This window comes from Homo sapiens, chromosome 6, assembly GCF_000001405.40.
Source record: "Homo sapiens chromosome 6, GRCh38.p14 Primary Assembly".
Taxonomy (NCBI): Eukaryota; Metazoa; Chordata; class Mammalia; order Primates; family Hominidae; genus Homo; species Homo sapiens.
Window position 1 is genome coordinate 169,751,589 of NC_000006.12, and position 22,087 is coordinate 169,773,675.

The 22,087-nt window shown below is 42.1% G+C and overlaps 1 protein-coding gene across 16 annotated transcripts in view, besides 2 other annotated features; it reads left to right on the forward strand.

Annotated features, from left to right (window-relative positions):
- ERMARD (ER membrane associated RNA degradation) overlaps positions 1 to 22,087 on the forward strand; it is a 30,295-nt gene that overhangs the window by 283 nt on the left and 7,925 nt on the right. For 5 of the 16 annotated variants that reach the window (NM_001278531.2, NM_018341.3, NM_001278533.2 and 2 more), the window contains exons 1-13: positions 34 to 75; positions 2,276 to 2,444; positions 3,695 to 3,834; positions 4,750 to 4,851; positions 5,131 to 5,220; positions 7,380 to 7,477; positions 8,250 to 8,386; positions 9,054 to 9,168; positions 10,841 to 10,943; positions 15,050 to 15,079; positions 16,515 to 16,583; positions 17,952 to 18,125; positions 21,731 to 21,814. In NM_001278531.2, the coding sequence (NP_001265460.1) occupies positions 70 to 75; positions 2,276 to 2,444; positions 3,695 to 3,834; positions 4,750 to 4,851; positions 5,131 to 5,220; positions 7,380 to 7,477; positions 8,250 to 8,386; positions 9,054 to 9,168; positions 10,841 to 10,943; positions 15,050 to 15,079; positions 16,515 to 16,583; positions 17,952 to 18,125; positions 21,731 to 21,814 (1,317 nt within the window). In that variant the 5' untranslated portion in view covers positions 34 to 69. The other 11 variants (NM_001278532.2, XM_047419023.1, XM_047419025.1 and 8 more) reach the window with 8 other exon arrangements.
- Positions 20,140 to 20,640: an enhancer, noted in NCBI's record as "H3K4me1 hESC enhancer chr6:170171824-170172324 (GRCh37/hg19 assembly coordinates)". NCBI's record gives its function as "activates a minimal SCP1, AML or CMV promoter by ChIP-STARR-seq in naive H9 embryonic stem cells {active_cell/tissue: H9 hESC(naive)}" and the evidence as "EXISTENCE:reporter gene assay evidence [ECO:0000049][PMID:30033119]".
- Positions 20,641 to 21,141: an enhancer, noted in NCBI's record as "H3K4me1 hESC enhancer chr6:170172325-170172825 (GRCh37/hg19 assembly coordinates)". NCBI's record gives its function as "activates a minimal SCP1, AML or CMV promoter by ChIP-STARR-seq in naive H9 embryonic stem cells {active_cell/tissue: H9 hESC(naive)}" and the evidence as "EXISTENCE:reporter gene assay evidence [ECO:0000049][PMID:30033119]".

A 22,087-nucleotide genomic window follows, 5' to 3' on the forward strand; every position in this document is an offset into this window, starting at 1 on the left:
AAGCGCCTGGAGGAGGGGCGCGCAGGCGCCTGCGTCATTCACGCGCGCCGCAGCGGGGCACCGGAAGTTATGGAGGTAGGGCGGGTGTAGGGCCCGGTTCGATCCCGAGCTAGGCAGGGAGTCGGCGCCAGGCTGGGTGGTGCTCGGCTACGCGGAGTGGGCGAGCGAGCACGCGCCTGCGGTGGCCGGCGGTCCCGCGCTGGAGGGCGCTGGCGACGTCGCGGCCCTGGCCTCTGTGGCGGTATCGGACGCTCGGCCCTGCAAGACGCCTGGCGGGCCCTGCCGGCCTCCCTGGGCCAGGCTCGGTTTCTCCGTCGCCTCCTGGCCCTGAGCTGGAACGCGGCGGACGGTCAGGGAGGGCTGTGCGCGGTGGCGCGGGGGCGGAAAGCCGCAGGTCGGGCTCTCACCTGACCGTGGCTCGTTCCTAGAAGCGCAGTTTCCTAGTCGCTGCCTGTAGGGTCCACACTCGGACAGTAAATTTGTGTTCATCGCCGGGCGTGGTGGGGCCTGTGGTCCCATCTACTCCGTAGGCTGAGGTGGAAGGATCGCTTTAGCCCAGGAGGTGGAGGCTGCAGTGAGCCGAGATCGCGCCACTGCACCCCTGTCTGGGCGACGGCGAGACCCCGTCTCCAAAATGATGATAACGATAACTACCATTTTTGAGTACTATGTGCTAGATGCTTTTCATGTGTTATCTGATTACTGTAGCCCTACCAGGTGCAGCCTGGCACCGTTTTATTTCACTTAGAACTGAGATTCCGATAAAGTAACTTTTCCAAGGCAAGAGGTAGTCAGAGGCTGAGGAATGATTCAAATTTAAGTCCAGCTCCAAAGCACCGGCCCAGTGTAGTCTGCAGAGTTCCAGCCCCATAGAGCCACATGGAGGATGCGAGTGACAATCGCCAATCAACAAATAGTTGATGTAGATTTCTTTAGTGATGACTTAATTGTTAGGGCCTGCTGGGATTGTTCGAAAACCAGGGCTGAGAGTGGAAAGTGCAACTTCTGGGTGCAGGAGGAGCAAACAGGGCAACTGATAGCAGTTTCCACATTAGGAAGCTGCCCAGAGCTAATTATGACTGTCACAACACAGCCCCCCCTTAACTCAACACACCAAAATAAAGAGCTTCGGTTCCGCTTTAGATCCTGAATTTGACTTCTTTGCAGGTTTATACGATGGTCTTAGTGTCATGTGGGGTAATTGTGAGGATTTCGATTGTATTTAATTCTCCATGGAAAACCAGTACGGTTTGCTACTTTTTACATGGCAGGGAAGGCTAAACTTTACCTCTGCCCATCTTAGTTCGGAGTGACCCCTTTAACAAATGAAAGGATAACAAGAAAAAAGTTTATTCTTGGACAGAGTACACATCACAAGGGATAAACCTTAATGAGAAGTAACTTGAAATGGTGGCTTAGAACTACATTTGTATACCATCTTCAACAAAGAACTGTAGATTTGCAGAGAAGTGACAGGACACAGGAGAGCAGTTTTAGGCTTCAAAGGGCAGGAAATTGGGAAGGTAGATACATATTCGGAAACTAATGGAGTAAGAATTGTTTGCAGATTCCCCTGGTACCTTAACTGGTCTGGTAAGTCTAAAGTTATCCCCAGTAAAGAATTTATATCCTGTCTTTGGGCGGAAGAGGGGGAGGATAGAGAGAGCTTTTCCTTCATTTGCTGCCTCTTGTCTTCAGCTCAAATTTGTTGTTGTTTTTATATCGAAGAGGCATGTTTTGGGATGACATTGTGGTTTTCTTCAACACCGTTTAGGTAGTCAGAGGTACGTGGGGTTCTTTTTCCTTCTTGTTCGTTATACTTGGTTTCTGCTCTCCCATTCCCCATTTAAAAAAATTGCTTATTTTGATAACTCTGGGATAGTGAAGGAATGCTGAGAGCAATAATGCTCTGGTCGTAAAACACATTCAGCTTCCGTGAACTTGTATTTTTTCTTTTTTTTTTTTAAGTGAAAGGCAAGTTTATTAAGAAAGTAAAGGAATAAACAATGGCTACCCCATAGACAGAGCAGTTTGCAAATATTATGATTGATAATTTTAGGTCTTTAAGCCTTTATCATATTTGAGAACATTTATGTAAATTATCTTTAATATTTAATCACTATGTTTTAATCATACAGCTCTCACGATATCCAGAAAGCATGTTAACAGCAACTATACCTGAGTGCATTCAGTTCTTAAGAGATGTGTCTGAAATATATAATACTCTATTTTTCTTTCTGTTAAGCAGTGCCTTTTATTTTATTTTATTTTTTAGGTATTAATAGGGGACCCTATTACCACATGTCTTTCTCCCTCAGTGTATGATATAATTTGTAATCTTGGGTTTCAACTCAGAGAAAATTGTGATATCAATAGCATTGTAACTCAGAATGGTGAAGTATGCTGGAAAACAATCACAGACTGTGTGAGCTACACAGAGTCAGGTTTGTGCTGTCTTTGTACTCCAAACTTTCATAACTGTCCCATTGAAAATGTCTTGACCTGTAAAATTCCCCTTTCTGACCATTGGTTCCTTTTGTTAGATAATGTTATAATACAGGCCTAACTCCAAGGAGAACAGGAATCAATGTGAAAAGAGAGGGAATGAGGCCAGAGAAGCATGGAAAAGTTAATGGAAAGCTGGGCTAAGAAAACCACCTCTACAGAGGAGGTGTCAGGAGGCACAGAGGGGCTGGTGGGCTGTTGATGATGTAGATCTCAGGGCCTTGAGATGATTCTCTGTAGGAGTCATGTGAATTAAGGGTAGAAAATGACCAGTAATAGATTATACAGTTATTTTAAGTGTCTTCTAGACATTCTTGCACACTTTGGAGCAGAGATATAGGTGGGGAAATTTAATAATAGTTATAAAAATTACAGATGAACATACTCTGGCCTAGCAGTCCGTTTTCAGGAATCCTTAAGACAGATACAGATATGAAAATGTGTGTGTGCAAGGTTATTCCTTGCAGCATTGTTTATAATAGCTAAATAAATAAACAGCCAAACATCAAGCAGTAGGGGATTGGTTCAGTAAATTATGATAAATTCATATAATGGAATATTATGCAGTGGTAGAAAAGAATGAGGAGGCTCATCTTATACAGAAGTCTCTGAGCTAAGTTGGAAAAAGAATAGGAGGGGCATGTATTTGTAATTACCCTTTGGTATTCATTGATCAGGAACCAAGTAGATGGTTAATCCCAAACTTATCAAAAAAAATTAAAACAACAAAAACTTCATATTATAAATATGTTTAAAACAATTCATTGCCATTAGAAATCTCAGCCTAATAACGTTAACGTAAAAAAATCAGGTTACAAAATTGTATATACAGTGTGAGCCTGGTTTAATTAAAAAAAAAATCAGGTTACGAAATTACATATACAATGTGAGCCTGGTTTTCTGTATTCTTATGTACAGGTAAAGACATTGACAAAATAGTTTTCTCTTGTTTGAAACTTTTTGTATTTTCTAAATTCTCTGCTGATAGTATATTTTTCTTTCATAACCTGATAAGCATTATGTGATTTATTTCCAACAATATAAAAGTATATCATATGTTCAATGGTAAGCTAATTGTTGATTTTGTGGAAATTTTATAATTAAAGCATTTTTTTCTTTGATGATGTAGATATTTTATATCATGTGATATGGAGCTATGGTGCTGAAATTTGTTTTCTTATCCTTTAAGAGCAGGGTCTGGATTACTGGGGAAGCGTGAGGCTGCTGGGCCCTGTGTGTGAGGCTGTCCATTCACATTTCTTATCTCTGACCAAGGGGCAATTTGAAATTCGATATGCACCGTGGTTCCAGTGGACAAGTTTTCCAGAGGTTTGGCTTTTGAACAACCTTTAGAAATAAAAGACTGTGCGAATACTACTTAGAGGACGTACTATTTGCCAATTTTAAAGGGGCCTCCTTCATCCCCAGGCCCTCCAGCGGTGAAGTGTTGAGGGTTGTAAGAGAACCCTGGGCTATTATGCAGGGTCTCCAAAGCCTGAGCTGAGAAACATGCCCCTTGGAACACAGGAAGGTTTTGAATTCATTATCACAGGATTAGGGGTTGGAGAGCTAACATTTGTCACACGGTGCCCATCCAAGGATAGAGGAAAAATTTACTACTCCAGAATAAGGCGTTGTGGAGAGGTATTGAGGTGTTCTAAGACAGTGGGGCCTGGAGACCAGAGCTGGGATACTTGGTTTGTTAATGGGGAACTGAAGGGAGTATGGGTAATTTGGGGCCTAACCCAAAATCTTGTTTTCATTTGTTTTTTTGGTCAGTTTTTCTTCATTTTATTTGGCACACTAAATGACCCCAGTAAAGCAGTAACTATAACAAATCTAATTCTGCTTTGAATTTGGAGTGAAGGAATCATCATGTCCCCCTTGTACTAGCACTTTTAAATGGCAGGATGAGTGCCTTGTGTGTATCTGTTTGAGGGCTCAGCCAAATCAAAAGGAGAAACATGATGGAGGTCAAAATGCTTGACTTTTCCACTTAAATTGTGCCAGATTTGTTGCTTTCAATAAACGTTTAAATAAAGAACCTTCAAGGAATTCTTTAGCTATTAAAATATTTTTATTGATTCTTTAGGCAATATAATTATACAGAAAATGTTTACTTATTCACTGAAAATAAAATATGGCAGTTGAAATCTCTCGAGGTTTGAATTTCAATAAATAATATTGTTGCTTTGAGAAGTAGTTTCAGAGTGTACATCCTAATATGTGTTTTATTGTAAATAGTTATTTCCTGAAATATTTGATGCCTTGGAAAGTCTACAATCTCCTGCTATTTCTCTTAGCTTAATGAAACTGACATCGTGTCTAGAACGAGCCTTGGGTGATGTAAGTGTGAGAACTCTTTCATTATTGGCCCATTAAATTATCTGAATGAACATGAAACTATTTTACAGTTGTCCTCAGTTTTCTTGATTATTTTCCTATAAGATAAAATCATTTAGTATGAATTTTTAATATTTCCCTTTTGAATGATTATGAAATCAAAGGATTGGTGTCTAAGTACTTTTCACCCTTCATTTGTACAAACAGTTGCTTCATGGATAATGTTTTTAATGTTTATTGGCTCATAATACAACTGTTACACAATTTTTGTTTGAATTTTAGGTATTTTTACTGATTGGGAAGGAATGCCCCTTTCTTTTAAGAGATCTGCTTTCATCTGAGGAGCTTGCTCAAGTCTTCAGTCAGTCTGTGGTAAGCTTGTTCATCTAAACTCATGGAGTATATTAGTCCGTTTTCATGCTGCTGTTAAAGACATACCCAAGACTAGGAAGAGAAAGAGGTTTAATTGGACTTACGGTTTCACATGGCTGAGGAGGCCTCAGAATCATGGCAGGAGGAGAAAGACATTTCTAACAGGGCGGCAGCAAGGGAAAAATGAGGAAGAAGCAAAAGTGGAGACCCCTGATAAACCCATCAGATCTCATGAGACTTATTCACTATCATGAGAATAGCACGGGAAAGACCGGTCCCCATGATTCAGCTGTCTCCCCCTGCGTCCCTCCCACAACATGGGAGAATTCTGGAAGATACAATTCAAGTTGAGATTTGGGTGGGGACACAGCCAAACCATATCACGGAGTAAGTGCAAAACAACAATTCACATATGCTGAGCTTTTGTTCTTCCCAAACTGATGATGCTTTAGGGAAAAATTGTATCAGTGATTCAAGCATATTCTCCCTTCCCACCTTCCCTTTCAAAATTGCCCCTCCTCCAGCACATAGAAAGCTTTCCTATCCCGAGTGTGAATAACTCTGGGGCACCACAGGGCCAATGTGAAGCATGTTGCCTCGATCAATTACATATTAATAACTATAATACTAAATCCAGAATACAACTTTAACCCTTTAAATGAGTGATAATACAGTTTTATTTGAAAATTTTAACGTGAAATTATCTTTTGAAACCATTTAAACTTACAGTGGAAAAAAATTCAGATGTTAAAAAAATCATGCAGTTACTATACTATATTAAAATCTCATAAAGGGCACATGATCAAGAGACTTAGGACTAATGAATAACCTTAGGCAGCTGATTGAGGCAGGGTCAAGATGGAGAAACCCAGAAGAGCCTTGTGTGGAAGCTGTGCTTGCCAAGCCAGGGTGCTAGATGATTTTTGGAGTAAAGAAATCTGTCTTCAGTGGAGCTTTTCCATTCTTTTCTGTGGATCTTTACTCCTTGTCCGCTTAAAGATCATTTTCTTTTGTGGAGTGCATGGAATGAAGATAAAAAGTACAAACCTCTTGTTACACTGAATTCTCAAACACATTTTGTTTCTTCGATCTGTTCTTTGGTACTTGCTTATATGTGATGGGCCTTCTGCCCACTTGTGGCCCCTTCAGCTGCCAGGTCACTGGCATTTATACATCTGATTGACCAGATAGTGTGAACCATGAGTATTTCACAAATTATTGGTAGAGCAAAAAGATCTCCTGAAGTTGCATAGAAGAACTGCTTGTTAAATGTTCCAACATTCAGTAGAACTGCTCTTGATCATTTCCACCTCCTGGTTTTGGGTCTTCCCCTTGAGGGAAGTTCAGAATGCGTCCATATTCCCTTCTCAACAGCCATCTTTCACATGCATGAAGACAGTGTTCACTTCCTTCTCGAGTCTTCTGGAGGCTCAACCATACTTTCTCCTATGACATGAATTCTTTTAGTCTTTGAACATCTTCCATTATGTTCTGAGTTTCTTCTAAGTATGGCGCCTCAAACCCAAAGCAGTTCTCTGGGCATGACATGACTGCAGTCCATTTATTAGGACGCCTGGTTGGGTGTTTTCTTCACTCTGTAGATAGATGGTGGGGTGGATAAGTGATGGGCTTCACGTCAGACAGCTAGGAAGTGGAGGCTCAAGCCTGGAGCCATGCTGCTCGGGCATCTGCCCTGCTGCCTCTGTTTAACCACACAATTGCGTGCTGCTTAATACAGTGATATGTTTCTGCTTATCATATCATTGTCTTTTTACATTTTATTTAGATATTATGCACATTTGAAGCAACTTTATTAAAGCAGGATAACCTGGGTCAGATCTTATCCCCCATATTGATTTTGTAGCCTTTGAGACCTTGGTTTCACCTTTCCATGCTTGTATTTTTTTCACCTAGATGCTGGGGATAATCATAGTACCTTCCTCATAGGTTGTTCTTAGGATGAATGAGTTGATGTACATGTACAAAATGTGTCTAGCACATATTAAACACTCAGTAAATGTTGGTTTTATTATTACTGCTATATACTAGCCAAAACTGTTGACTCTCAGTTAAAAAGAGGAACACAAATGTTATCTTCATACTATATTGGTTTATTCAGTAATTCAGTATAATTAACTATGTAATGATTTGCGGATTAGATGAATGTGCTAAAAGTCTTCGTTGGCTCTCCGTGTGGTCTCAACCTGCGTAACGTCTTATGGCATGGGTTTGCGTCACCTGAAGAAATTCCTCCAAAGTAAGTTGCAAGTGAAGACATTTTCTTCCTTTTTTGGATCTACCAAAGAGTTTTTTAAATTTTGAATTTCATGAGAAGGAAATAGATTTTGTGAAAGATAAGTGAGTTTTGAGATAGGATTTTGAAGCTAAAATTGAATATTACTAGTGTAGTCACCAGAGTGATGACTGGGTTATAATTTCAGTGACTTACACCCCAAAGGCAATTCAGGGGTGACACCAGAAGGATGTTATGCCATTCACGTCCTGGGTGGGTGGGAGACCCTGAGTTTCATTAGGGTCTTCATCAGAGTGTCTGTGGTGCTGTTGTGCTGCCCAACTACTGCACAGTCTAATTCCTACATCGAGAGAATTTTGTGCAATTTTTTTTTTTGAGATAGAGTGTCACTCTGTCACCCACGCTGGAGTGCCATGATACATTCTCAGCTCATTACAACCTCCTCCTCCCAGGCTTAAGTGATCCTCCCGACTCAGCCTCCTGAGTAGCTGGGACTACAGGCACACGCCACTATGCCCACCTAACTTTTTTGTATGTTTTGTAGAGATAGGATTTCACCTTGTTGCCCACACTGGTCTCAGACTCCTGAGCTCAACTGATCTGCACGCCTCGGCCTCCCAGAGTTCTGGGATTACAGGCATGAGCCACCGTGATCGGACAGTTTCATGCAATTTAACTTTGCTTTCTTAATTTTAAATTTGTATTTTTCACAGTGAAGCTTTTTATAGGCATGATTGAGTACATTTTTGTAACAGATCTCTATGGTATTTCCTAGATACTGTTCAATGATGATACTGTTGACGGCAGGATTGGGTCAGTTACTGAAGAGTTACCTTCAAAACACTAAACTTACATTGGCACATCGCTCTTTCATATCTCTTACAAACCTCGAGGATTTGATTGTTTTTCCTGGTAAGTACTATGTTTCACATTTTTCCTTATAGCTTTGCGTAGATATTTGCAAAGTCAGTAAACAGCATTAAGAGGTGCACTCTTGAGGTGGGGTGAAGTAGTTGTTCTTCAGTAGTCGGATGGCTTTCAGAGTTGCTTGAAGAACCTCCTACATTTTACCACCCAAAGCCCTGCCTCCTCCCACCATGCCCTGGGGTTGTTGTGGGGGTCACAGGAGTTGCAGCTGTGTGAGCTGAGCTCTTTCTTCCTCAGATGCACTATGAGCAACAGTGGCCTCAGGCTGTTGTATGATGTACATTTTCTCCTCCTTTTACCTCTTGTGTCTTTGTACTCATGATCATTATGCCAGAAATACTTGTAGTAATATCAAGGGTCTTTTACACCTTCTGAAAATGTGTTTTACTTCTCTTGGTCATTGTGCTCAGTTGGTCCATCCTGAACTGTTGCCTAAGTCACTGAAGAGATGTCCATGCCCCACTTTCCAAGGGTCACCTGCACCTCGGGCCCTTGGTCAGGGCAATCCTACTCTCTAACAAGTCCCCTGCTGCAGGGGTCACGGTTCAGCCACCTAAAGGGGTTGGCTCATTGGCATCACTCCCCCAGCATGTTTCCATCTTTTTTCAGTTGATCAGTATGATTGTGTTTAAAACCGTGTGTTATTTTACAGATGTTACTTATGAGGTGCTTTCAGTATTAGAAGAAGTGATGATGAAATCTGCTTTTATATTAAAAATCATGTTACCATATTGGGAAGTTGCACTGGTCAAGTTCAAGTCACACAGGTAACTAAAGGGTACATGGCAGAGTGGTTTGCAGTGGTTGGAGGCCATTCTTTCTTGATGCCCTTCACTTTCGATGCTTTTTGCTGTTGGAGTAGAAGTGAAGAGAACCTGGACTGACTTGAGCAGACCTGAAAATAAAACACCTTCATAGAGTCGCTTCAAGGACCGCCTGTGATTATATTGGAAACATTGCCTTTTGGTGCAGGTGATAGAATTATTTTTCAGGATCCACTTTTTAATATTTTCTGGAAGTCTTAGAATGAGTGAAACATGTTCAGAATCATGAAACATAGATAAGCCAGCTTCGTCCTTACATTCTGTTTCTGTTTCCTGAGGAGCAAACACATGTATGGTCGCCACCAGAAGGTCTGGTGAGCTGATCTTTAGTTCCTTAAAGGATATTACCCTAATTCATTCATTTTTATGCCTTGAGAACCCACTGAAATCCTGGGATGTGCATTTTTGTTTTTTTCTTTTTGAGACTGGGTCTCACCCTGTCCTCCAGGCTGAAGTGCATTGGAGCCACCTCGGCTCACTGCAGCCTTGAACTCCTGGGCTCAAGCAGTCCTCCCACCTCAGCCTCCTGAGTAGATAGGACTGTAAGTGTGCACTACTGTGCCTGGCTAATTTTTGTACTTTTTCTAGAGATGAGGTCTCAGTCCATTCCCCAGGCTGGTCTTGAGCTCCTGGGCTCAAGTGATCGTCCTCCTGACTCAGCCTCCCGAAGTGCTGGAATTATAGGAGTGAGCCACTGCACCCAGCCTCAGTATTTTCTAGAAGCAATGAAATGAGTTAGACAGTCCTTTGATGACATTTTATTCTGTAGAAGCTACTAAAAATGGTTCATCAAACATTAAAACACTGGAAAATGTTTTTAAAATCACTAGTTAGTGAAACTTTTGTTCTATGTGTAAGTGGTTTTGTTTTGTTTTGTTTTGTTTTTTGAGACAGAGTCTCACTGTGTCACCCTGGCTGGAGTGCAGTGGTGTGATCTCAGCTCACTGTATCCTCTGCCTCCTAGGTTCAAGTGATTCTTGTGCCTCAGCCTCCCAAATATCAGGGACTATAGGCATGCACCACCACGCCTGGCTGATTTTTGTATTTTTAGTAGAGACGGGGTTTCGTCACATTGGTCAGGCTGGTCTCAAAGTCTTAGCCTCATGTGATCTGCCCGCCTCAGCCTCCCAAAGTGCTGGGATTACAGGCTTGAGCCACTGCGCCCAGCTGGTTCTGTTTTGCTTCTCGTATTAGCAAGTATTATCATTTCTCTTTGCTTTTGATATCTAGACTGCAGCAGTTATTGTGATGTTGGTGTCAATATTATTTTTGTTTTTTGCTTGTTTTTTACTTAGAGAGTCTTAGTCTGTCACTCAAGCTAGAGTGTAGTAGCACAGTCATAGCTCACTGCAGCCTTGAACTCCTGGGTTCAAGCAATCCTCCCGCCTCAGCCTCCTGTGTAGCTAGGACTACAGGCAGTGCCACTGCACTCTGCTAATTTCTAAATTTTTTGTAGAGATGGGGTTTCCCAGGCTGGTCTTGAACTCCTAGCCTCAAGCGATCCTCCCACCTTGGCTTCCCAAAATGCTGGGATTACAGGCATGAGCCACTGCACCTGGCCTAATATTTATTTTTGAAATGTGGAGTTTTACCTCTTTTCCCTTCAATTTCATAGGTTTGCTGACTGCGCCATATTGTTGCTGACACAACTGGAGACTGGACTTAGGAATGTTTTTGCCACACTTAACAGATGTCCAAAAAGACTCCTGACTGCTGAGGTAAGCTTGTTTTTATTATTGATTGTGATCATTGTTGCTGTATTAACAGTTTTCTGTTACCAATTAAAAGTTTTTAAAAATGTTATTCTGTTTCACATTAAAATGATTTTAATTTAGCTAAGAACTGTGGAAGGCCTATCATTTCTATAGGATTTATATTTATGTTATTTATGATTGTTTTTGATATTTCTGTAATATTTCTAAACAGTCTTTAAAACTCAATGATACCGTGAACGTAGTAGGCACTGGTTCTCTCTCTAGCTGTGTTGATGGTGTGTCACTGTAACCGCGTGAGATGGCTGCGGTCTAGCCGGGAGACTGAGGTGACCAGTGGTTGAACCTGACCTTGGGAAACTAATCAAAACCTTCTGAACTTGAGTTTCTCCATCTTACAAATGGAAGACGTAGGATTTGGAGGTGACTTGGTGTGGTGCCAGCCCTGCAGCAGGTCATGAAAGCCTTTGTCTCAGTTTCTTGAGCCCCTCCATGTGTGTACACACACGCGTACACACAGCTGTCTCAGAGTTCCACATTGACCCCCGGTCGCCCTGTCTGAGGCAAGCGTCTCTGAGTTTCCAGCCTACCTCCTCTGGCTCCTAGAATTTCTCATTTCTGCTCCTTTTTAGTAGTTATGATAAGATCCTGCTGCTTAGTGACAGAGATCTCGAAATAATATGGCTGCAGTGACTGAAATAGGATAGAAGTGCATTTCTGCCTTTCCCAGATGTGAGTAGCTCCCACTGAGATGGCAGCACCCCCATCATCAGCACTCAGACCCCTCTGTGTCGTCTTCCAGTGATGAGGGCCAGGCCTTCCTTATGGAGACTACTACTTCCTGGCTCCAGCCGGCTGTGTCAGCCATCACATCTGCTTTCCAGCCAGCAGGAAGAGCAAAGATTGGTGCATGCCCCTCTCTAAGGACACTTCCTGGAGGTAGCACAGGCCTTGGGCCAGGGCTTAGTCGCACTTGCTGCCAGGGAGGCATGGAAGCGTTCCTGGATGGCCAAGTGCCCAGCTTCCCACGGGACGATCTGTTGTGGAGGGAGGGCAGGTGCAGCCGCTCCACACCTCGGATTCTCGTCTCTTTCTCTAGCTTGGCTTTTGCTTTTTGCCCCTCTTTGTAGGCATTCCTCAATGCTCTGCCGTCAACCCCATCCTCTGTTTCCTCTCCCTGGGAGATCTCATACAATTCTCTGCCTTACATTTTCATCTCTGGGGGAACAACAATTAGAAAATACTTTGAACCCAGTGAAAATGAAACCCAACACATGGAAGTTTTGGACCCAGCAAAAGCAGTGCTGCGAGGGCAGCTTACGGCCCCGGAGCCGGGCTCCCCAGTGTTGCTTCTCACTGACCCCCATCTGATCTCTGCAGTTAGACCTGCTTATGTTCACTAAATATCTTCATGTGAGTTTTCCTCAGCACCTCACATTTATCTTCTTTCAGAAAGGCGTTGTTTCCCACAGATTTGTCCTCTGACGCTCCCTCTGTCATCTCAGCCTCACCAGCTGCAGACTCCAGCAGCGTCTCGTGTTTCCCCAACACCTCCCGTGTCCACTCAGTGGCCAGCACAGCCGGTGGTTTCCACCCAGCTGACCTTGTGCTCTTCCTGTCCAAACTGAGAAGCCCCCCGCCTGGCTCCTCGGCCCACCCGAGCTCATCTCACGATTCTTCCTCCTTCTCAAATTTCATTCTCACAGTCCTGCTGATTCTTTTTTTTAGTTAGTTTTTTTTTTTTGGTTTTTTTTTTTGAGGCAGGGTCTTGCTTTGTCACCCAGGCTGAAGTGCGGTGGTGCAGTCATAGCTCACTGCAGCCTCAATCCCCGGGCTCAAGCGATCCTCCCACCTCCGCCCCCCGAGTAACTGGGACCATAGATGTGTGCTACTACACCTGGCTCATTTTTACATTTTTTTTTTCCTTGTAGAGACAGAGTCTTGCCATGTTGACCAGGCTGATCTTGAACTCCTGGGCATAAGTCATCCTTCTGCCTCAGCCTTCCAAAGTTTTGGGATTGCAGGTGTGAGCCACCATACGTGGCCCCACTGATTATTTTCTAAGCTGATATTCTTACGTTATTTATGGTTTTTTTTCATTTGTTTAACCTCCTCGATGATGTCCTGCTGCCTGCCAGATGGAGTTCATCCTCTTCACGTGGCAGCAAGGCCTCGGGTTCTAACCCTGCCCTCCTCTTTGGTGTGTTCCCTGTTTGGATACCTCAGTGAAATTTAGGCTTCTTGTCAGCTCCAGAACTTGCTTGTCTTTCCTCTTACTTTGTTCCTCACCCCCAGATTTTCCGCTCCAGGTCAGGGGCTGTGGCCACAAAAGCGACCTTCCAGAGGCTCATCTACTCAAAGGTGGAGGCTGCTTTTCTCTGTGTTCTGTTTCTGTCTCATCTTGGAGGCAGTCCTGCTTTGCCTTACTCGTGTGCATTTCTGCAGAGGTCTCTGCGGGTTCTCTGAGGCAGGCCTACACGTTGCTGTCGCCTGCTGCCCATGCCCAGTGCCTTCCATGTAGGCCACTCAGCGCGGTGTGGAGCGAAGCTTCAGGAAAGAGCTGGGCCCCACCCATTAGAGCCCTTGCTTCATGATACCTGCATGGGGATTGGCTGCACGGTGGCACGCACCATCACTGTAGGGCCATGCGGTGCAAATAAATTTGGATATTTACTTGTCATTTGACTTCATAAATAAATAACATGGCTGTTTCCACAGAGGATATAATCTATCAAAGAATATATTATTAGCACAGGCTTTCACCCAGAATAAACAGGATCAGTTTTTAAGGCAGTACATATATGAAGATATTTTATAAAACTTAATAAGACACTGCAGATGCTGTTATTATTTACTGATTACTTTTGTGTCATGAGGTTTCTTCAGGACCAGTGGAAGATATGAATATGAGTGAGATTTTCTGACTTCAGAAGCTTATTTATCATGGGAGAGTGAGAAGGCATTTATACTAACTCTGTAAAACAAAGTAGAAGCTAATGTGTGTAGTTGATGTAGGTAAATGAAAAATTCTGCTTTTTGGAGAAAGTGGGAATATGTGGTAGACGTTGGATATTTAGAACTCAGAGGGAATTTTAGGGCTAGCAATACAGATTTCAGAGCTAAAGATAACAGATTTTAGAGTCATCTGTGTAGTAATGTTGAAGAATATTGGCAATATGAAATTTAAAATAGATTATTAAACATTTATTATTAAACATTAATAAATCAAAAAACATTTCTTGAGAGCTAGCTTACACAAAATCCTGATTTCATCACATCACACCGCATGGCCCTACAGTGATGGAGCGTGCCACCGTGCAGCCAATCCTCATGCTGTCAAATCTCACTGAAGTGATTTCATCAGGCTGTCTGTCAAATCTCACTGAAGTGATTTCGTCACGCTGTCTGTCAAATCTCACTGAAGTGATTTCGTCACGCTGTCTGTCAAATCTCACTGAAGTGATTTCGTCATGCTGTCTGTCAAATCTCACTGAAGTGATTTCGTCATGCTGTCTGTCAAATCTCACTGAAGTCCCCAAAAGCCTTTTGAGATAGGCATTCTTAACTTCTCCTTTTGCAGAGAAAACCTGCATCTGTGGAGTTCAATCGGTTGCCTGTAGGTTTCATGTCTAGAAAATGTTGCAGTTGGGATCAGAACTCAGGACAGCACATGTCTGTAGGCCGTGCCGATGATGCTGAGAAGCAGCGTGCATGAAATAAAATAAAAACAGACAAGGCTATTCATTGGAGAAAATAGGAAGCTGTGCTCCCTTGTGCACAAATACCAGTCGTCAGGAGAAGTATTCTGTTGTATGAGCAGCGATTTGTGAGGGCCTGGGATTGTACATTTTAGAGATAACTGGGCTAAAGCTCTGTTGAGAGCAGTGTCCTAATGCGGCTTCATGGCCAGCTGCACTGTGTTTTTGCGTCTTTTGTAATGTGTTTATTTTGTCAGTGACATTCCTCTCATAGTGTTTCTAGATGAATGTTTGTTTTAACAAAAAACTTTGGGATGTGTGGCCATGTACCAGAATTTTTTCTTATTTTGCATAGTGTTAGTGTATTTGTATTTTGCTTTAATTGTTTATTTTCATTTCTTTCCTTTTCTGAAGTCAACAGCTCTTTATACCACCTTTGATCAAGTAAGTAAGTAAACTTGTAAGGTAACTTGAAACAAACAGAACGCTGTCTTCTTTTAAAATACAAATTAAAATGCAAAATTAAAGATCAGCCATAAATCATATACTTACAGGAAAATGTCCATAGTAATATAAACCAAAAAAAGCTGATAATTGATATTTCCGGTTAATTTTGGGGCCCAGTGTTACCAATCTAGCTCCCAAAGCTATCCAAAGCTCAAAGTTGGAAAATACCAAGGGATCTAACATGATTAGCTATAATTATTTAGAGGCTTGCATTTTAGATTTAGGGGTGACATCTTTTTTGTACAGGAAATATTCCCCGCTACTGTTACAAGTGTGTGGGATACATTGATTCATTTAATCTGCATGTTGGCGGTGTGAATAGTAGAAAACTCACAGTTGAAAATGCCTCTTGTCAGCCACGGAGCGCACAGGCATTTGTGTGCGTAACCCCGGGTAGCGTTCATGTGCACCTAAAGTGTGACGACAGCCTATGGGAAACCAAGGGAAGGGTCACCTGTAGAGGTCCGGACATTCGGTTTTGCCTTTAAGACAACTATTAGATCCTAAGCGACTGTGTTGTGGCTGAGTTAAAAATGTGCCTGTTTACTTGCAGAGCTTCTTCCATTAGGTGAACAATCTGTTGTGATTTTAATGTGTAAGACCTTTGGTAATGTGAGGAATTGATTAGATAGTGCAGCCCAGTCTCTAGAGGATCAGATCTGTGGGATTGGTTGGGGTGGTTGGGCAAAGTCCATGGTGAGTTAAGAAATGACTTTGGAAGTGACTCTAATGTGTACACAAACAACACACATGCACACACCACACATACATACACACACGAACACATACCTCCATGCTGCATATACACACACAGGCATACACACACTCTAATGTGTACACAAACACACATGCACATACCACACATACACACACACACATGAACACATACCTCCATGCCACACAGACACACACAGGCATACACATACTCTAATGTGTACACAACACACATGCACACACCACACACGAACTCACACATCCATGCCACATATACACACACAGGCATACACACATGCAGGCACATACACTACACACACACACACACACACACACAGGCACAGTTGCATATAAACACACAAATGTACACACCCCCACACCACATATGCACATACACATATACACACCACACATATTCATAGTCACATACACAAACACACATGTGTATACAATTATTAATATAGTCTTAAAGTCATTCTGTTGGTTAAGAAAATATTTCCTGAACACCTGTTTGCTGAATTTTAAAGACTGTCCATTTAATTTGCTTAGACCTTAGATAACAAGTTAGGCTAAAAGTACTATATCCATCAACTCTGAAAGTTCTGTATGTTTATGTATGGGGACCAGTTAACCAATGTATTTATTTTTGATGTTTTAGATATTGGCAAAACACTTGAATGATGGTAAAATCAATCAGCTTCCTCTTTTCCTTGGAGAGCCTGCTATGGTAAGTATTAGGTATTTTCCAGGCTAATATTCTTGTATTTATGGATGTCGTCAGCACTTCTCTAAAATTAAATTAATTTTGGCTTGTGGTTTGCTCAAGAAAAATACTTCTGAAACATTGCTGTGCTGTCTCAGCTTCAGCCACCAATCAGCTGATGTTTGCCAAGCTGTCACTCCTTAAATGTGTTTTTTAAAGGCCTGATGATTTAGCTGCCCTGTCCCTAAGCAAAATTTGTATTTGTTTTTTACATGTATTTGTGCTGTAGAACGGACATATATTTGTGCCTTGTTAAATGCAACAGTTAGGCCGGGTGCGGTGGCTCATGCCTATAATCCTAGCACTTTGGGAGGCCAAGGCGGGCAGATCACAAGGTCAAGAGTTCAATACCAGTCTGGTCAATATGTTGAAACCCCGTCTCTACTAAAAATGCAAAAATTAGCTGGGTGCGGTGGCGGGCACCCACCTACTCCTGAGTCCCAGCTACTCAGGAGGCTGAGGCGAGGAAAATGGCTTGAACCCAGGAGGCAGAGGTTGCAGTGAGCTGAGATCCTGCCACTGCACTCCAGCCTGGGCAACAGAGCAAGACTCCGTCTGAAAATAAAAGCAACAGTCAAATGTGAGTAATAAGATTGAGTATTGGATGAAAAGAGGATCATTAATTGTTTAAGGCCATCTATCCATTTTTTTATATTTTATGAAGATATTTCGGTGACTAATTTGGACTACAATAGGTATTTGACATTTATTCCTTCTAACAGTCAGGCGACCTAGAATCATGCTCATGTTCTGTGACTTTAGACTCCGTGCTCTGTGGACATCCATTTTTACCATCAAAAAATAAGATGATTGAACTAGTTTAATGTTCTTTCCACCTTGAGTCTCTGTGATGCTTCTGACCATTGGCGGTTTGCCAAGGGCAGCAGTTTTCTGACCTCTTTTCCCTAAAACCTGTGGGAGAGGCCTTGGATTTGTGTCGTAAGAAGCAACAGACTTTTGAAGGTGAAAGAGCAGATGAGAAAGTGCAGGGGCTGTGCTCACACAAGAAAGAGCCGTGATTTCTTTTATTGCCTTGGAAAAGCTCATTTGCAAATGTTCACACTCAGTTCCCTTCCTTGGAGGAAGGTGAAAACAAGAAAGACTGGAATTTGATGAGGCTCCAGTACCACCTGGGCAGCTCTGCTTTCCCCACAGCCTCTCTGGCTCCCTGGTCTGTCCTGTGGGTGTAGGAGAAGAGCTCTCCCCAGCAGAGTCCCACCCAGGGCTTCAGAGGACTTGATGGATGCACTCTTTCCTTCTATTCAGCAACACCAGGCACGTCTCTCTGCTGCGGATACTAACAAAATATTTTCTCTGTTTAATTTCTGAAAGGAATTTCTCTGGGATTTCCTGAACCATCAGGAGGGTCCCCGCATAAGAGATCATTTAAGCCACGGGGAGATCAACTTACATGAATTTTCAAAAGAAACAACTAATCAGTTGCTTGCATTTTCTCTTGTACTGCTACTCAGATTCGTTGATGACTGTCTGCTATCAGTTTTTAAGGTAATTTATAGGGAAGAAAATCATTAATTAGATTAACTCATTCAGCTATGAAAATATAGTTTATTTTTCAAATGTAATTAACTGTTAATCATCTTTTAATATATCTGAGTTACAGTATCCTCCATCAGAAAAAAAAGTGAATGGATTACATGTATGTTTATATTCTCTATCACAGATCAATCAATATTAATCTCAGCTAAAATAATTTAACTCGTTTCTTAAAAACACATTTGCTTTTGTATGTAACAGCAGCTAAGTATTGAAAAGGAAAGAACAAATTATAAAACAGGATTAACCAAATATTAGGAAATTTTTACAGATATTTGCTAAATCGATGGGGTAGGATATTTGCATCATCAATAAACTCTTTTATTTCAAAGTAAATAATTTAGGATAGAACATTTGTTATTTATATTTTAATCTTTTTTTCAGATTATACATGTGACAGTTATTTTAAAAATTGTTTAAATGTTCAAACAAAAATTACTAGAAATAGAAAAATTAATGTGAAAAGTAAGAGCCCTCAGGAATTCCATCTCTCAGAAATAACTACTGTTAATAATTCGGTGTTGTTGCTACCACATTTTTGCTATGAGTATACTAAAGTGAGTTCATAGGAAGGTATGTTATGTTTTATAGCTAGCATTTTTCATCAACTGTGTTTTTGGCATTTTTGTTCTGCCTTATTCTTTTTGTCAGCTGTTTGATATTCCATTTTATCAATATGTTATTATTTACCTAAGCAGTCCATCATTGATGAATGAGTTGTAATGTTCCCTGATGTAGAAAATTCCTAATTATTATGCTGAAATGAACATCTTTGTTCATTTGGGCACTTACGTAAATACTCTTAAAAAGTAAAGTTCTAAGACAAAATATATCAATAAGGTTTTTTTAAATTTTTTTATTATTATTATTTTTTATGAGACAGGGTCTTGCTCTGTCACCCAGGCTGGAGTGCAGTGGTGCAGTCATGGCTCATGGCAGCCTCAACCTCCTGGGCTCAAGCCATCCTCTTACCTCAGCCTCTTGAGTAGCTGGGACCACAGGCACAAGCCACCATATCCAGCCAAGATTATGTTTTTATTTTCATTTCTTTTTTTATGTTTACTAGATGTTTATAATTCCTTTGTTAATTGCCTATTAATGTATTTTCTCCATTTATTTCAGTTTTATTTTTCCCATTGGATCATTAGCCTTGTTTGTGTACATATTGCTTTGTTATTTGTTTATAGATTTTGATTTTTTTTTCTCTTTGGCTTCACATTTGGAGTCATTCTGAAAAGAATCTTTGCTTTTCAAAATTAAAAATATATGTATACATTTTCTCTGATACTTCTATTTTTTCTTTTTTCTTTTCTTTCTTTTTTTTTTGTTTTTTTTTTATTGAGACGGAGTCTTGCTCTGTCGCCCAGGCTGGAGTGCAGTGGCGTGATCTCAGCTCACTGCAACCTCTGCCTCCCGAGTTCAAGCAGTTCTCTGCCTCAGCCTCCTGAGTAGCTGGGATTACAGGCGCCCGCCACCACGCCCAGCTAATTTTTTTCTATTTTTAGTAGAGACGGGGTTTCATCATGTTGGCCAGACTGGTCTTGAACTCCTGACCTTGTGATCCACCCGCCTCGGCCTCCCAAAGTGCTGGGATTACAGGCATGAGCCGCCGTGCCCTGCCTATTTTTTCTTCATTTTCCATTTACGTCTTTTGATCCAACTGGAATTTATTTCATCTTGGGAGTAAGGTACAGAATCTAGCTTTACTTTTAAAAAAATTAATAGTTATTATTCTGTGTAAACTTGGACAAACATACAACCCAAAAAACAAATAAGAATGAGGCCCTCGTGGATTGAGTTAGGGATAATTGACATTTTTCACAATATTGAAGCTTATTCAGGGACACAGGTTCTCCCCATCTTCATTCCTCAAGTCCTCCCGTGTACGCGGCACCTCCAGCCTCCTAGGTGGCTGCTCAGGCGGGAAGCCTTAGATTCCTCTCTTCGCTTCATACTCAGTCCTTGGAACAGGTCTTAGAAATATGTTCCACAGTCCAGGCGCGGTGGCTCACACCTGTAATCCCAGCACTTTGGGAGGCCGAGGCGGGCGGATCACCTGAGGTCAGAAGTTCGAGACCAGCCTGGTCAACATGGTGAAACCCTGTCTCTAATAAAAATACAAAAATTAACCGGGCGTGGTGGCGGGTGCCTGTAGTCCTGAGAATAGCTTGAACACGGAAGGCACATGTTGCAGTGAGCCGAGATTGTGCCACTGCACTCCAGCCTGAATGACAGAGCAACACTCCGTCTCAGAAAAATAAAGAGAACAAAAAAAGAAATATGTTCCACATCTGCTACTCCCTGTCCCTCCTGTGCCACCACCTGGCCATGCCGCCTTGGCCCCTCCCTGGAGTGTTGCTGGCACTGACTGGTCTGCCCACCGACTTCTGCGAGCCCTTCACCTTGTCGTAACACAGCAGCCAGACTGATCCTTTTACCAACATGTCTTCCTTCTCCTCGGAAGCCCTCGGATGGGTTCACATCTTGGAACAGAAGCCAGGTGCTCTTCAGTGGCACACATATGCTGCGTGTGTGTCTGCCCTGCGGGGACGTCACCCATGCAGGCACATGAGTGTACCTCCCGTTTTCTGCCCAGCACACTCCCTGGTGCACTCCAGGCTCTTACACACCTGAGTGACGGGAAGGCCAGCACATTTCTTCTGTAGTTAACATCTAGCTACTTGAGTTGTTTGTTTTGTGCTTTTAAGAATTGTAGGTAGTGGGCCAGGCACAGTGGCTCACGCCTGTAATCCCAGCACTTTGGGAGGCCGAGGCAGATGGGTCACCTGAGGTCAGGAGTTCGAGACCAGCATGGCCAAACATGGTGAAACCCCGTCTCTACTAAAAAATAAAAAAAAATTAGCCAGGCGTGGTGGTGGGTGCCTGTAATCCCAGCTACTCAGGAGGCTGAGGCAGGAGAATCGCTTGAACCTGGGAGGCAGAGGTTGCAGTGAGCCGAGATCGCGCCAGTGCACTCCAGCCTGGGCAAAAACAGTGAGACTCTGTCTCAAAAAAAAAAAAAAAAAAAAAAATTGTAGGTAGTTACAGATTTTTTAATTTGTCAGCTATCAATTCACTGACTTTGTTTCTCATAGGTTTTAGTTGGCTGACTTGGATTTTTAAGTTATGTGGTTATATCAGCTGCAAATAATGTAATTTTTATGCTTTTTAAAATATGTATATGCTTGGCAATTAAATGTTTATGCGATCCTTTTTTTAGTTGTATTCATTTTTAGTGTTTAAGTAACTATTTCCTAGTTACATTTCCAATTGTTTGGAATCTTTTTTTTCTTATTCATCTCCAGTTTTGTGCACAGAGGGTGGGTGTGGCATTTGTGATCTATTATTGTTAATGGCCTCCATTTAAAATCATTTTATTGGCTGTCATTTGCCTGCCATGTCAAGCCTATTTTAATGAAGCACTTGCTTTTCTAGCTGCATAGAATTATTTGAAGAAAGATAATGAGAAATGGGGACTCTAAGTGGCCTACAGTTCAATAGAAGAAAGCTAAAAGCCCACCCAAACATGATAGTAACCACTGTTTTCTCTGCACTAGGAAAAATCAGCCGTAGAATTGTTGATTAGTCTTGCAGAAGGCTATAGTTCTCGCTGTCATCCGGTTTTTCAGCTTAAAAAACAGGTATGCCAAATGCAGGGTCCCGGGAGGGGCGTGTATGTCTCTGAAACCACCTGTCTTCTGCAGAGATGCTGGAAGGGTGCAGTTTGCTTGCTGAGTCAGACTTTGAGTTGGGCAGATCCAGCTTTTTAACCAGTGCGGGGCCTGCTGTGGCGCTGGCCTGGTTGCTCAGTCTTCTGAGTCTCAAGTTCCGTGTCTAGCAGTTGAAAGTAATGCGGTGCTGACGGCACTGAGGTTTTTAGTGTTAAATGGATGAGCACTGGGAAGTGTTTTTGC